This window comes from Homo sapiens, chromosome 10 (genome assembly GCF_000001405.40).
Source record: "Homo sapiens chromosome 10, GRCh38.p14 Primary Assembly".
NCBI classification, from domain to species: domain Eukaryota; kingdom Metazoa; phylum Chordata; class Mammalia; order Primates; family Hominidae; genus Homo; species Homo sapiens.
In genome coordinates this window covers 14,847,097-14,864,316 of record NC_000010.11, presented here as the reverse complement: position 1 = coordinate 14,864,316, position 17,220 = coordinate 14,847,097, and the positions used below count along the sequence as shown (strand labels likewise).

General features: G+C 38.5%; 1 protein-coding gene across 1 annotated transcript in view; it reads right to left on the bottom strand.

The window, feature by feature from the left end:
• Nucleotides 1-17,220, bottom strand: part of HSPA14 (heat shock protein family A (Hsp70) member 14) — a 33,436-nt gene that overhangs the window by 7,425 nt on the left and 8,791 nt on the right. Inside the window, exons 4-10 of the mRNA NM_016299.4 lie at nt 15,660-15,708; nt 15,422-15,527; nt 14,506-14,596; nt 12,994-13,098; nt 11,786-11,947; nt 10,037-10,192; nt 8,374-8,476 (exon numbers count right to left, since the gene is read on the bottom strand). Of these exons, the coding sequence (NP_057383.2) occupies nt 8,374-8,476; nt 10,037-10,192; nt 11,786-11,947; nt 12,994-13,098; nt 14,506-14,596; nt 15,422-15,527; nt 15,660-15,708 (772 nt within the window). The remainder of the gene's footprint in view (nt 1-8,373; nt 8,477-10,036; nt 10,193-11,785; nt 11,948-12,993; nt 13,099-14,505; nt 14,597-15,421; nt 15,528-15,659; nt 15,709-17,220) is intronic.

Sequence of the window (17,220 nt, the reverse complement as noted above, 5' to 3'; positions counted from 1 at the left end):
GTAAGTGGTGCTATGCAAAAAAACAAAGAAAACCAAAAAAAAAAAACCAACCTTGGAAAATATTGACTTTTTTTTTTTTTTTTTCCGGAGACAGAGTCTTGCCCTGTCACCCGGGCTGGAGTTGCAGTGGTACAGTCATAGCTCACTGCAGCCTCAAATTCCTGGGCTCCAGCGATGCTCCAGTGATCCTCCTGCTTCAGTCTCCCGAGTAGCTGGGACTACAGGGGTGTGTCACCATACCCAGCCAACTTTGTTTTGGGAAATCCAAGATTAAGGTGCCAGCAACACAGGCCATTCTGAGGTCTCTTTTCGTGGCTTGTAGGTGGCCACCATCTCACTGTGTCCTTACACAACCTCTTTTTTGGTACATTTTGGTGGGAGGGGGAGGGAGGGTGGTTAAGAGCCAGCTTTCTTCTCATGACAACAATAATTCTATCAGATCAGGGCCCACCCCTGTAACTCCAATTAACCTTAATTACTTCCTGAGATGTCTCATCTCTAAGGCCTTCTAAGTGAGTTCAAGCACCTGAGTCAAAATGGATTAAACTCCCTATTTCTTTGAGTGCATCTCAGGAGTTGTTAAAGAGGGTAAGAGTGAGAGAGGCAGAGAAGGCAAAAAAGAAGAGGAGGGTGGGGAGAAGCAGCAGACACAGCTGCCTCTGCTTATAATGTCACAACCTTAGAAGAGGTTATTAAGAGCAAGTCATGCTCTGTGGACACAAGAAGAAGGGAGGTGGGGAGAGGAAACATTAGAAAAGGACTAAGCCTGGGTTAGGGGACAGGACTGTTACACTCAGTTTATGATAGACACCTTGTTCAGATGATGCCTGATAATCATATGCCTCTGATTCCCCATAGAGACGACTTGGGACCTACTGATAATCAGTGGTCCTGAAGAGGCCACTGACAGCTCCTCATCCAGAGATGAGAGGATGAGTTGGAGCCAAGTAGCTAAGGCACTCCTTTAAGACCAATGCCAGCAAAAACTAGGACTGCTCCCCTTTTCAGTGTTTATGTTAAAAGGGGTCAGTTTGTTCAGACGATATAGGTCAGGTAGAGAAGTCTGAAATGGTCCATCTAATCTTTCATGCTCAGTTAGCATAAATAATATAAAAATTATAAATTATTGCAGAAAAAAAGAATACCTCCTCATAACCAAGTAAGTTATATCCCAGGTATACAATGATAGTTCCATATTAGGAAATTATTAATTCATTATATAGCTTTAAGATACATAAAAACAACGTCATAAGATCATCTCACTGGTGTCCAAAAATACATATGTAAAAATACAACACCCACTTCATATTAAAACGCCTTTAAAAATAGAAAAGGCCAAGCGCAGTGGCTCACACCTGTAATCCCAGCACTTTGGGAGGCTGAGGTGGGCGGATCTCTTGAGCCTAGGAGTTCAAGACTAGCCTGGGCGACATGGTGAAACTCCATCTTCACAAAAAATACAAAAATTATCCAGGTGGGTGTGGTGGCATGTGCCTGTGGTCCCAGCTACTTGGGAGGCTGAGGTAGGAGGATCACCTGAGCCTGGGAGTTCGAGGCTGCAGTGAGCCATGATTGTGCCACTACACTCCAGCCTGGATGACAGATGACAGAGTGAGAACCTGTCAAAAAAGAAAAGAAAGAAGGCCAGGCACAGTGGCTCATGCCTGCAATCCCAATACTTTGGGAGGCCGAGGTGGGCGGATTACAAGGTCAGGAGATTGAGACCATCCTGGATAACACAGTGAAACCCTGTCTCTACTAAAAATACAAAAAAATTAGCCAGGCGTGGTGGCGGGCGCCTGTCGTCCCAGCTACTCGGGAGGCTGAGGCAGGAGAATAGCGTGAACCTGGGAGGCGGAGCTTGCAGTGAGCTGAGATCGTGTCACTGCACTCCAGCCTGGGCGACAGAACGACACTCCGTCTCAAAAAAAAAAAAAAAAGAAAAGAAAAGAAAGAGCTTTCTCAATATGATAAAATCTATTTTCTTGGGGCTGGGTGCTGTGGCTCACGCCTGTCATCCCAGCACTTTGGGAGGCCGAGGCAGGCGGATCACGAGGTCAGGAGATTGAGACCATGCTGGCTAACACGGTGAAACCCCATCTCTACTAAAAATACAAAAAAATTAGCCGGGTGTGGTGGCAGGCGCCTGTTAGTCCCAGCTACTGGGGAGGCTGAGGCAGGAGAATGGCGTGAACACGGCAGGCAGAGCTTACAGTGAGCCGAGATCGTGCCACTGCACTCCAACCTGGGTGACACAGCTAGACTGTCTCAAAAAAAAAAAAAAAATCTATTTCTTTTTTTTTTTTGAGACAGAGTCTCACTCTGTTGCCAGGCTGGAGTGCAATGGCGTGATCTCGGCTCACTGCAACCTCCACCTCCCGGGTTCAAGCGGTTCTCCTGCCTCAGCCTCCCAAGTAGCTGGGACTACAGGCGCGCACCATCACGCCCAGCTAATTTGTGTAGTTTTAGTAGAGACGGTGTTTCACCATGTTGGCCATGATGGTCTAGATCTCTTGACCTTGTGATCTGCCCACCTTGGCCTCCCAATGTGCTGGGGTTACAGGTGTGAGCTACCGAGCCTGGCTGATAAAATCTATTTCAAACCAATTACCAGTAACCAATGTTTGTTGGTAAAAGTCTCACAGTATTCCCCTAATAAAAGGAACAAAAGAAGGAATCCAGCATTCACAAAAATATTTAAGTTCTGGCCAGGCACAGTGGCTCATGCCTGTAATCCTAGCACTTTGGGAGGCTGAGATGGGTGGACTGCTTGAGCCCAGGAGTTTGAGACCAGCCTAGACAACATACAGAGACCCCATCTCTACAAAAAATACAAAAAGGCACACACCTGTAGTCCCAGCTACTCAGGAGGCTGAGGCGGGAGGGTCGCTTGAGCCTGGGAGACAGGGGTTGCAGTGATGTAACATTGAGCCACAGCATTCCAGCCTGGGCTTCTGTTTGTTTTATATTTGATTGCTATGATCAGAACTTACATTTGTTTTTGGACAGAGTCTCAAACAAAAGGGACACATCTTAGAGAAATGTCTCCCCACTTACAGATACATCTTCTCCCAGCACCCTCAACCACCCCATTTTCCTATTGCCCTTGTAACACAACTTGAGAGTTGTCTATACTTGTCTCCAACACCTCACCATCAATTCAATATTAAACCTGCTCCAGTAAGGCATTTATCTCCACAGCTCCCCTACAATTGCTCTGACAAGCCATTCCACATTGCCAAGTCCAAGGGTCAATCCTCAAGGAGGTTAAGCCTCACCCTACTATACCTCTGGCATCACAGGGCAGCTGCTCTCTCCCTTCCTTAAGGATATGTTTTTGCCTGCCTTCCTGGTTCTCTTCCTTCTCACTGGCTGGTCCGGTGCCAGATGCCCTTCTAGCTTGCAAATGTCCCAAGATCCCATCCTGGGATCTCTTCTGTATTGTGGCTCTGCTTCCCCCATGGGTACACCTGTCCAGTTTCATGGCTTTAAAGAGTACATGTGTGGACAAACATGTCTCCAGCCCAGACCCCTCTCCCCAAATCCAGACCCCTACATCGATCTACAGCGAACTCTTCACACTGAGGCCTGAGCACTCCTTCTGGGGATCTGGGCCCTAGTTTCCTTGCCAAGCTCACCTCTGTCCACCGTCTCCCTGGCTCACTCAGTTCGGCCCCTGTTACCCTCCCTGCTGCTCCTCAGGCACCACTCACACTCTTACCTGCTGTTCCTCTGCCTGGGACACTGGTAGATATTCACATGGCTTGTTCTATCACTTCACTTCATTCAGGACTCTGATCAAAAGCCACTTCCTCAGAGGGGACTCTGACCTGAAAAATCACCCTCTGTCACTAGCTAGGCCCTTATCCTGCTTAATTTTCTTCATAAGATTTATCACAATTGGGCATTATTTTATCTGTTTCATATTACCTGTATATCCTCACTATATTGTTCGTTCTATGAAGGCAAAGACTTTGCCATAGCTACTACTGTATCCCAGGTGTCTAGAATCTGCCTAGCGTAGAATAGGTGTGCTCAATAATTATTTGTGGGTTAATCAGTAAATAAGTTTGAATGTATGCCTAGGAAATTCAGAAGACTCCATTAAAAATCAGTAATCCAAAGAGTTTACAAAGTGACAAAATGTAAGATAAATAAGCAAAATCACCAGGTATCTCATTTATCAGCAAAAACAAATAAGAAAACTAAAGTATTATCTCATTCACAAGAGCAATAATCCCATAGCACTCAGCAATAATTTAACAGTAAATATTAAGAAAACAAGGAAGTATTAAAGAAGATTTGAACAGATACCAACTTTGTGATTAGGAAACTAAATACTATAAGTTATTACATCATCCCAAGTTATTTATAGACAATGCAACTGTGTCAAAAAATGAGACTTTATGTAAGTTGAAAAAAATAATTCTAAAGCTCTCTGAAAAAAGAACTGTAAACAAAGAGAACTTTAAAATTGCAATGTTAACAATTAAGGTTTACATCTACTCAGAAAGTAAGTTGCTTTTTGGTGAGCAATTTGATAACAAATACTAAAAGTCTTAAAATCTAGGATTTACTCCTGAATTTTATCCTAAGGAAATTGAGGACATCCACCAAGTTACAAAGACTGTTGTATAACATACACATCCAATATACAGAAGGGGTGTTATGAAGGACGGTACATCAATGCAATGAAATACTATGGAGCTATTAAAATTGCAGCTACAGAACCCAGGAACTTGGCTAAAACACAGGGATTAACCATATTCATTTATCTAAGCTCCCTTTCACAAAAGCCCACTAAGCTGACAACAAAGGGATTTCAGAAGGTAAAGATAGAAAGGCAAAATAAATGGAAGAGAAATCTTGAGTTTGAGATGTCAACAAATTTTGGAAGCTGGAAAGAGGTAAATCAGATGAAGTTTGAGATAGCCGAAAAGAGGCAGGGTGGTCTGATGCATAGGATTCCAGGTACCAAACACCACAGAAAGCGAGGGTGAAGCACAGAAGTGAAAACACAAGGGCTGGAAAGCACACGTGTGGAGTGGCTGCACCTGCCCCCACCCCCAGCTTCTCCCTCACCTAAACAGGTGGCCACCTGCACCTTCTCCCACATCAGGGAGGGAGGTCGTCAACACATAGTGATAGAACTTTGATACAAAGATACAGCACGAACCAGGGTGGGGCATGGTGCTGAAAACAAGGGGGAAGAAGGGAAAAGTCTGCACATTCAAGAGTAGGAACCCTGAAGCTCTCTGCTCTCAGGCCAGAAACCTGTCCCCCTCAAGCAAGAGATGAGAGAATTTCTTCCAAAAAAAGCCAAACTCTCCTCATACTAGAACCCCAGGTACTAAAATGAGAAGGCAACGGTCACAAGCATGAAGAGCACAGGTGATGGAGACAGGCAGCCTGAGTTCTGGTCCTTGCCTCATCATGTAAGTGCCAGCCTCATGACTGCAGGACAAATTACTTCACCTCTCTGGAAACCTCTTAGTTTCCTCATCTGAAAATGAAGATAGAAGCGCCTACTTCCTGGAGCTTGTGTGAGGATTAAATGTTTTAATACATGTAAATCCCTATCATTCACTCCCCGTTCCCCGTAAGAGGATTACCCATCCCACTCACTCCCACAACTTGGTAGGTGGGGTATATCTCTCTGCCCCTCTGTCATACCCACTGTGACACTGAATGTGAATGCACTGACATGCACCTATCTAATCGAAGGCCCAGGCAGCTGCTCCTGTGGCCTGGGTCCTAGAACAGGAAGTGGAAAAGAGCCCCAGCAGTGGACCTGCAGCCACCTGCAGCTGCCCACCTGTAACCTAAGTGTTGCAGAAAACCGCTGAAGAGTTGAGGGTATTTTCTTACTGTACCAAGGTCAACACACTAAGAAGACAATTTCTTATTATTAAGTTCTCAAAAGCCTGTGTCTTAGAAACATCTGAAGAGGGAATCTCTAACAAAAATTTCAAACCTAAAACTATTCCGCCTCAACTCAAGCAACTGAGAATTGGACTGTGAGAGATAATGAAATGAGGGGGCTTCATGACCGGTTGGTTAAGAAAGGGAACTGATGCTTATTTGTCACGATATGCAACAGGCTGTGCCACAGACATTTCATTTAACCCTTGTAGCAACCCTATAGAGTAACTTATACTTACAATACTTACTTGTAAGGTAAGTATTATCACTTTCATAACAAGAGAAAGTGTCAGGAAATGAAGCATTTTGCCCAGTCTAGAACTATTAGAACCATGAGGCTTCATGTTTAGGTGGGTCTGTCTCCAAGCCCATGCACCTTCCACCACTGTTTTACTACCATCATACAACATGCCTCATCCTTCACAATCCGCCTCCCAGCCTTCAAACACCTAGCAAAATGCCTGCCACACTGTAAGTGTTAAAAAAAAAAACAAAATATATACTTATTGAACTAAACTGCAAAAAAAATTTGTCACAACATAGCAGACATCAAAAAAACTAAAAACATAAAACTGTCAAAGTATAGACAAGTTAAAAGAAAAGTATATTTCATATTTGCCATACATCCAAGCAAAGCAGCTGGAGGAAACAGAGTCAAAGATCAAGAGTAAGTCAAACACCCTCCTCCCTAGCAGGACCAAAACCAAATAGTGAAGTAAATGCCTCAAAGGAAGACTGCTGTGCATGATAGCTAATATTCCGATTATGTAAAATATTTGCACAAGTTTAAAAAAAAGATTTAAATGATTAAATGGGCAAATAATATGAGATAAAAATTTACACACAAGGAGAAACAAAATTAAATAAACATTTAAAAAAATCCTCTAGTAACCAATGAAATATAAAGTGAAAAGATCTTTTTTCAACAGTCAATTGGAAATTTATCTTTAAATGCTATAACTCAGTGTCGACAAGGCTATAGTAAAATGTATACTTTTATATATTGCTGATGGGAATATTAGTTAATTCAATTCTTTTGGAAAGTAACTTGAGGTAAAAATAGTCTTAAGCTATTTTTATTCTTGACCTAGTATTTTACTTTGGCAATCTACTCTAAGGAATAATCCTAAATATGATAAACGTCTCTGTATAAAGACAGGCATCATTCTCTTACAGGGGAGGAAAAAACCCAACCTATGTGTCTACAACAGGACCACAGTGAAAAACTGACAGTGCGTTTCCTTTTTAGGACATTAGCAATCTATTTCAAATTATGTTTAAAAAGACTATAGTAATATGGGGGGAAATTGGTTATATTATATAAATTAGGCAAAATTCAAAACTGTACATACAGAATTAGAACTGTTATTAAAAAAACTCACAAAACTATAGCTAGCAAACAAACCTATGCATACAAATTATACAAGTTAGAAATACAGCTGCCTTTTGGTATTTTGAATTTTCTTACATGAATACTTACTACTTCAATAATGAAAATTTTAAAAATCATATACATTTTATTTTTATTTTATTTGTGAGATGGGGTCTTGCTCTGTCCCCAGGCTGGAGTGCAGTGGTACGAATCACGGCTCACTGCAGCCCTGACCCCCTGGGCCCAAGTGATCTTCTCACCTCAGCCTCCCAAGAAGCTGAGACCACAGACGCACATCATCACACCCCGCTAATTTTGTTTTTTGTAGAGACAGGGTCTCACTATGTTGCCAAGGCTAGTCTTCTACTCCTGGGCTCAAGCAGTCCTCCCTCCTTGACCTCCCAAAGTGTTGGCATTACAGGCTTGAGCCATCGCACCTGGCTCATTTTAAATGTATAAAAAGAGTATGTTCAATGAAGAGAAATAATTTTGGGGAAAAAAAAGAAAATACTAAACATTTGAATTTTTTTGAAAGTCTAAAAATATGTTCCTAAGCAAGGAACGGGAAGCAGCCTGGTATACTAGTTATGAGGAGACACAGGAACAATACTGGGTTAAATCTTGGCTCTACTACTTACCGTGTGATCTTGAGGAAGCTACTTAATCTCTGTACCTTGGTGCCTTCACGTACAAAACTAGGATAAATAATAGTGCTTACCTTGGGGATAAATAGTAGTGCCTACCTCAGAGTTATTGTGAGTATTCAACAAGTTAATATGTGTAAAACTCTTGGAAAAAGTGCCTGGCACATAGCAAGTATTCAAATATCTTTCTGTCTATGCTTACAGATAAAAAATATACTGGAAAGGAATTATTCTGTTTTGCTAGGAAACTGAATATATACAAATGAGTTCACCAGAGCCATTAATCAAAATTTCATCAATTTTTCCTTATTCATTAACACAATCTAAGAAAATTCTTAAATGCATTAAAATATTCTTTCAGTACCCAGAGCTATTTCCTAAATTCCAAGTCTGAAACTACACCTAAAATAGTTAAGAAAAATGTAAAAGCATTACCTTGTTGATATCATCTGCTGTAAATCCATTTTGATCTAAGAGTCCTCTGATTGCTTCTATACACTTATTAAAAAGTGGAGAACAAAGAAGTTCAAATCTTGCTCTGTACACACATACACACACACAGAAACACACAGACACAGGGACAAGAGAAAGATAAAACGGGGCTCAGTACAATCAAACAAATATCACTTTTCTTTTTCTTGTGAAGAGTAATGCCAAAACTTAATATGATAGTTCTCTGAATGACAGGTTTACCATAAGAATAAGGTATTAAGTAAGAGTGATGCAATATCATGGAGACAGGAGAGTCTAGGTCATTCACCTACATATATATGAAGATAATATCAAATTCAAGTGAAAGCCCATCTTGCTTATGGTCTACTTATAAGCTTCCAAAAAATAACAAATCTAAAAACACATACCCATATAGCATTCCCAACAATAAACCTACTGACCCTAATCAAACCATCATTTGAAAGTTTCTGCCATTTTTATATGTTAAAGTTTTAAACATTATTTCTAATAATTTTCCTTGACAGTTTGAGACCATGTTGGACATAAGTTTAGCCCCTCCGTACTCCCTGAGAAATTGAATGCTGGCAGATAACAAAGTTTTAAGAAAAATTTATGGTCATGAAAAATGTACTCCCTAATCTTCATACAGAACTTCTTAAATGCAGATGAGTGGCTTAAAAAATAATGTTATCTATTAATATCTATAAACCTTATAGATATTAAAGCATACTTTTATGGTTGAAATCTTTGTGACAAAGGCAAAATTTCCCTAATGAAAAATTATAAATTTCATTTCCTTCTTAATTACTGATTAATAAAGCAAATATATACCGAGGACTTGGACAAACTTAACCCTAAGGAATTCTGGAACTAGAAAAATACACATACTCTGTCCAAAAAGAGATTCTAATTCAATGCAATGCCTTTTCTATCTTTTGAGTTGTAGCCTGAACTCTTTCTTCAAAGATCTGGAGCATAGCTGTCCAACAGGACTTTCTACCAGTCACTAGCCACATGACTACTGAACATTTGAACTGCAGCTAGTGCTACTGAGGAACTGCATTTTTAATGTTATCCTAATTAAGTTAAATTTAAGCAGCCACAGGTGGCTAGTGGCTCTTTTATTGGGCAGTGCAGATCTAGAGTCTTCATGAAGGCCCGGGGAAAGTGAAGAAGCTAAACTAAACAGATGAAAAGAGAATTTAACCAAATACAGTCACTAGAATCCTAAAAAAATATATACTGCAGTCTTGGAAATTTTCACTATGCTTCAAAGTCACCTATTATGTTGTTGAGAGGTTTGAATAGGCCGTATCATTATTATTAGCAAATATGCAACACAAAGACTACAGCACGTCCTCCCTTTGTACTTTATCACTTGTAGGATCTAGGTTGAAGGTTCTAGGATGCCTTTGCACACTCCTAATTGTAGCCATAAAATAACAGGGCAAGCAATCACAACTTATGTAATTACTCTGGTAACAGCTATTTAGTCTGACAAAAACTGGACCCCAATAAAGTGAAGACATTATAGATGGTTGATAAATCTCAAACAAACAAACAAAAAACCCAAAGTAAGAAAATTATACCTAAACAAACATGTTCTTGGAATTTTTTAAAAAAGTTTTTTGAACTTCAGTTTTACCTGGACACATTGCAATCAAAATCTTGACCTTCATATAATGAGTCAAGAAAACAGTTGGCACTTCCCAAGGTTGACAAAGAATGTTTCGCTACTTCAGCACTGTTCGTTAATTTCATCATGGCTCGCGCATTTCCTCTCACATCATGTTTGAAGGATCTAAATTAAAAACATAGCCTTTGGGGTTTAAAATTACTGGGCCATTTACAATATTGTAACTAAGATCTGGATAATCCTTATTAAAACAATAATAAATTAGTGAATCAGGCCGGGTGCGGTGGCTCACGCGTGTAATCCCAACTTTGGGAGGCTGAGATGGGTAGATCACCTGAGGTCAGGAGTTCAAGATCAACCAGGGCCAACATGGTGAAACCCCATCTCTACTAAAAATACAAAATTAGCTGGGTGTGGTGGTGCATGCCTGTAATCCCAGCTACTTGGGAGGCTGAGGCAGAAGAATCGCTTGAACCTGGGAGGTGGAGATTGCAGTGAGCCGAGATTGCACCACTGCACTCCAACCTGGGCGACAAGAGCAAAACTCTGTCTCAAAATAAATAAATAAATAAAATAAATTAGTGAAACAATATTTTATTCCGGATTTTAGTATTTCTCTTCTAATCCCTCTAAACTTTCCTAAAACACTCTGTGCAATTAAAGGGGTCACCTCAAGAAAAATGAATTACCAATTTCCTTAATACTCTGAATTGCTACATTATGTAACCATGAACTGCTGCATTATATAATTGTAATAATAGACTGTACTCTGAAGAAAGTAGAGTAGATATCACCCTTTTCCAGGTGAGACACAGAGGTTAAAGGAGATAAGGAGATTTATGTAAGAGCGTCAAAGTCTCCTATTTTACCCTTTATAATCACAGCACAATCACTGTTTAATGGCATAAAATTATTTGTCAAGCATTAAAAAGAAAAAACAACCTACAAGTGTTTCTTCAAAAAAATTTGACACATACAACAAAATATGTAAAATTACATTCCACTATCTCCAATATGAGTTCATGTTTAAAACTACTTACTAAGTAGTGATCAATGACTTCATTTAAACAACATCTTTGTAACAAAAAGCAGTATAGGTCTTTATCAAACAAGTGAGACATTATGACTTTTTCAAGACTTCTTCAACCAATTAGGTTAGTCAAACTGGCTAAAATACCATTTCAATTACACTTTTTTTTTTTTTTAGAGCAGCAGTACCCAAAGTATAACCTTTACATATCTGACTTTTGTAACATCCAAAAGGGTTAGAATTTTAGAGTAATTATATCCAGTAACAAGACTGAAATATTCCTAGCAGCAGATGAGTAATTAAGATAAATATTCCATAAGACAATAACTCACTGGAATATGAAGATAACATAATGCAATCTTCACCAGAGCCAAACTTTTAAAAACTGTTCAGAAGGCAATGAAGCCTCAGTGCCTATACACTCCTTTAACCAGACAGAAGAGCACTACATGAAGAATTAAAATCTACGTTCATGCAGTTCAGTATCTGACGGTCTCTTTACACTAAGTGAAAAATCCAAGCACACTGCACTAGGCAGCCTGGCCTCTGCTTCTTTGAATTGCCTGGACAGGACATAACTCTAGATATGAAAATATCCAGTTTCCAAGCAATGAAAAAACCACATCCTCCTTTGCAGCAGGATAACTTAAAATAAATTAGGAAAAAAAATTAAAATATGTGAAGGAAAACCTCAATCAGAAGGTATTATTCAGGCCATTAACACTCACCTTTGGAACTCAGAAGCTAGATACTGTGCTAAGGTTTCTGTGAAATGTGCACCACCGATGTTATCATCAGTGTTTGTTGAAAGAACCCGATATATTCCACTGTTAACTTCCATGACGCTGAGAGATAAGGATGTTCCTCCAAGCTTAAACACCAAAATATTGCTTCAAGAGAAGATAAAGTAAGTTATCAGGGAATAACATTTTAAAACTAAGTTGGATATTAGAAGTCACTTAGTTTAATCCCTTTAATTTACAAATGAGGAAATAGAAAATCTCAGGTGAATAACTAAGTTGTCTATAGTCACTTATTGACAAATCAAGCCTAGATCTGAGATGTTCTGCAACCAAATCAAAGTTCTTTTTTCCTCAGTCATGTGGATACAACTGTATTCTTCTGAGTAAGGAGTTCAAAACACGAACTTTTCAAAGTAAATCAAGAGATCTGTGATTATAGTGAATTTTAAGAGAACTGAACATAGAAATTCTATGTGTTAATCTTATGCAAGTTACTATGCAATTGCATGTTCTGTAGATATATTACATATGCAAAATTAGGAGCTAATTCCCGATTCCCCATGTATTAAAACTCATAATTTGATATTCTCAGATTTATCTAAAAATAATTTCCTCATGATGTACACATATTTCTTTGCTTAACTAGGAGATACGAATAATGAGGTGAAACAATTATGTAAAATTAACACTGCATCTGAATTAACTTCTCTAAAGTTGAACGACTATCCATTCTATTAAGACATATTGACAGCTATATTAGGGATAAGTATGTTCTAGTATTTCACCATTAAAAGAAGTCTCAAAACCTCATGCTAAATCCATCTCCTGCCCTGTCAAATGTATATAACAGTACCTATTATCTGCAAACATGTCTAATAACTGGAATTGGTAGAAAAATCAGCAGTGTCGTAGCTTGAGTTGGAAACTGGCCAGGCCTCGAACTTTCAAATCTTCCCTCAAAAAAGGGACAAGACAAGGGCATAAAAGCTCAACCTTCTCTCCCATTACATTCTTTCTGTGCTTTCCTAGGACATCTTTCTCAACTATTTGAAAAACTCTAGGCAAGAGTCTGTTTTTCCATCCAGAAAGGTTTGGAACCACTGCATTACATAATAATCTTTACTGATATAATCTCTATAATCTAAAATGTTTTCTGCACTCAAAAAACCTAAAACTGCAAATATGATCTTTACCTTTTTCCAGTAGGGGAGTCTTGTCCAATTCCATAAGCAAGAAGAGCTGCAGACGGTTCGTGAATTAATCGCAAAACATTAAATCCAGCAGCTCTAGCTGCTTCTCTGTGAACAATTTGCTTTCAATGAATTTAATTTATCACATGTTCAATTCTACATTTTTAGAAATGATCTGCTAAAGATTTTATACAAAAGCTACTAAAATTTCATAAGTAGAACATGAAGTATAATGATCTTTAGAAGCAAGAATATAGAAAACAAGAAATGAATGACTATAAGAGATCACTTTCTGTTTAAAATTGTAATGTTCAGAGCCCATATTCTTCACAAAGAAAGCAAAAAGCACACGTACTGAATAAGAGAAATAAAGCTCTCAAAAATATCCATGTTTAAAAAAAAAAGTTCAAAAGATGAGAGTCTTTTGGGGCTCTGAGAGTCTAGGACAGGTGTCCTGTCTTCATGCTATCCAGAACTTCCCCATTCAAAGTACTTGCCACATTTTAACGTAATTATCTTGTTAATTCTGTGACATCAGAAACCATGTCTTATTTATCTCTATTTATTCAACCTTCAATACAGTGTGGCTTAAACAGTAATCAATACACATTTATTGAATGAAAAAAATGCCTATGCAAAAACTGCAGAAAGACAAATTTATAGAACACTTGAAAATTTCCAATTTCTTTAATCTAGTGTTCAGTTTTTAAAAGTACATAAGGCAATTCTCTGCCTCAGAGGCAACTTCAATGCCCAGAACCTTGTGTGAAACTCTATCCTGCAGAGCAAAGGCATAAAAGCACACCAATACATTTGCATAATGACCTGTAAAAACTATAACTTTTCTGTTTAGATGTTAAGATCTAAGGTGAAGAAATAAGCACAAATATTTTCTAAAACTGCACATGTAATTCCTACATAAACCTTAATTACACAAAATTAAGGCAAAGAGATTCATAAATGTCAATTTAACCTGGTAATTTAAAATGTTTCCGATCGAAACAGCTGAAGGTACACCATATTTAATTTTATGTTCTCTTGGCTTTTTTTTTTTTTTGAGACGAAGTCTCGCTGTCACACAATCTGGAGTGGAGTGGCGCGACTTTGGCTCACTGCAACCTCCACTTCCTGGGTTCAGGCGATTCTTATGCCTCAGCCTCCCGAATAGCTGAGATTATAGGCACCAACACCATGTCCAGCTAATTTTTGTATTTTAATAGAGACAGGGTTTGGCCATATTGGCTAGGCAGGTCTCGAACTCCTGACCTCAGGTGGTCCACCCGCCGCCCCCCCGTCAGTGTCCCAAAGTGTTGGGATTACAGGCGTGAACCACCACACCTGGCCTCTTGGCATTTCATCAAATATATACATATAAAAATGATCATTACCTTACTAAATTATTTACAAATACAATTTTATCGCCTAAGGTACTTTAAAATACAATGTTACCTTTTACTATATAGTGACTTTGTACTTCCTTTAATTAAGCCAGTAAGATAAACCCCATATACTTACCCAAGAGCATTTTTTTGCTTTTCTCCAAAATCAAACGGGACAGTAATAACTACATCATTTGCATCTGAGCCCAATACAGAATGTGCCGTTTCTGCATATTAAAAAATATAAAATTCTGATGACAGAAGAAAATGACAAGTGATACTTTCTGAGGTTTATTAATTTATGACAAAGATCTCACTTAACATATTTCCCAATACACTTGCTTGCCCACCCCGCCCCCGTGTCAATTTTCTTCTCTGCGCTCTGAAATCATGCAGCACTTCTTGTGGTTTTGGTGATATATTTGGACACAGAATTAGCTTTCCAAACAGCCTGGCTCTTAGGCTTCAGTATCAACCATCTTCTGAATTAGACTGACTCCATGGAGAATAAGCTCCTAACGCATCCATGTGAAGACACAACGTCATAATGTTAGTTCTCTACATTTAAAGCCTGCCTTCCAACCCCCAAGTTCTTAACATCATTACAGGGCTGAAGGAAGCCTTATAAACAATCTATTCCAGAATTTCCCAAATTGTTCGACAGAATACCACTCAGCTCAGAGCCTCCGTCTGAACTGCTGATAAAATCAGACCTACTTAGTCTGCCTAAATTATTGTTCACAGTATACTGTCGATCTTGAAGTGCCACTATTCACCAAGCTTACTCGGCCACTAACTATGTTTGGAAAACTCTTATTTGGCCTAATTCATTTATATGACTTATAGGGAAATCACAGTCAGGTAAGGCAAGTCATTTAACCACGGGCACATACCCAGTTAGTGCCCCAACCAGGTCGACAGTTTATATGTCCTTACTTATCTGTGCAATCACTCTGCTTCTCCCAAGATCTAAAAATACCTCTAACTTTTTTTTTAAGGTCAACTTTCAAAAGATCATTAAAGGTAACTATTATATATCTTTTGCTAAATACCTTTCATTTTACTAAATATCAGTCTGGCAACATCTTCTGGGTTAACAAATTTTGTTTCTTCTCCAGTATCTATTTCATATCGTAATTTCCCATTTTTTTCAATGACCTATAAAATAAATTACAATTATGCTAAATAAATAATTTTTAATAAAAATGCAAAGTTTCAAATCAACATTCCATGTTATCACCTTGGTAATTACTCTATGTAACAGGGAAGCAATAACAGAACCATACTCACTAAACATTTACTTTCCGCGATGTATTTCTGAGCTTGTGGATCACTGGAGCTGTCCATAAAGAAAGATAAAGATAGCTAAGTATTAAAATCAGTATTGTAGATATATAAAGTTTAGAGAAGACTGTATTTCACAATATCACTGAACAAATACTAAAATATTAACAAAGTTATTAAGCTGCTTAATACTAAAAGTCTTCAAATATTACAGAAGATAGAAATGGAGTATTTATAAGGGTTATAGTAATTCTACTAAAGTACTGATCTTTGCATTTGAAAATAAATAGCTTTCTTGTTCTGGCTGTGCTATTAATAGGTGCTATATATTTTGAGGTGACTTTTCATAATATCCATGATTTTGTATCATAGTTTCACACCTATGATTCTGAAGACCCAACCACTGAGATGAGAAAGTTGCAAACTAAAGGCAAACCAAACTAGCTAAGACCATCTTCGTTGCTTGGTTTCTGAACACACACCAACTCCAGAAACCAAAAGGTTGAGCAAAACTATGAATGTTGTTTATAGAAAGGTGCAGAGTACTATGCATATGCATATATATACAGATATAAGCAACTTATGCAGACTACAAAATGTTTTCACGTACATTATCTCACGTTATCCTCACAACACCTAAGTGGGGTGTGTTTGGCAGGTATTATTTTAGAGATAAAGAGCTTCAGAGAGGGACAATAACTTATAAGCTAACAAGGGGCAGAGTCAGTACGTGAGCCTAGGTCTTCTCTATCACGCTACTATTATTCATACTTTAGCAGGCTGCCTCCCACTCATCTTGTAAATGATCACAGTTCTTCTGTCCCTTGAGCGGGATAGAAATCTCTGATTCTTGGCTTAATGTCATCTAGAAATTAAGATAAAATAGACTAGTATCCTTTCATTAAACCCTTCTTCCAAGGAGCTGTGACTATTCTATTTGTTTAATAAGAGAAGTTGAAAATTAATAGTGGCTAATTGCTGAAGGGTTAGAGCATCTGGAGACCTTAACTTGTTAAGAGGCAGACAAACGGGGTTTAAAATGGACTAATTTGGCTTAGAACTCTGGAATACTTGCAGGTTCCTCATACTTCCTTCTCTGTCACCTAAAATATCAATAGGACAAGAGGTAAGTAGCTTGCCCAAAGTCACACAGCTAATCAATGGCATAACTGGCTGGCATTCAGAACTTCAATACAAAGTTTAGTATTCTTTCCATTAAACTCTTTGCTTCTTCCTTTTCCTAAACTCAGTATTTAATATTAACTATATCCCAAACACTTTAAGAATAGGAAAAATAGATAAAGTGTGCTCATAGCGGGTTTTGCACCAATATTAGAATTTCAGCATGACACTTACTAGTTCTGTTTTCTTTAGAATTTAAGTCAACCAGAACAATTTATACTGTTGTGCGTAGGTTGTCTACCACCCAGACAAGAGAATTTGCCAGGAAGGATATTTTACAGAATTTACAGAACTCTTAAGAAATGGAAAATTATTTCTCAACTGCTTTATAAAGAGGGCCGCTCTCCTCTGAAGACAGAAAGCACATATAGCTCCGAGGGCTGCA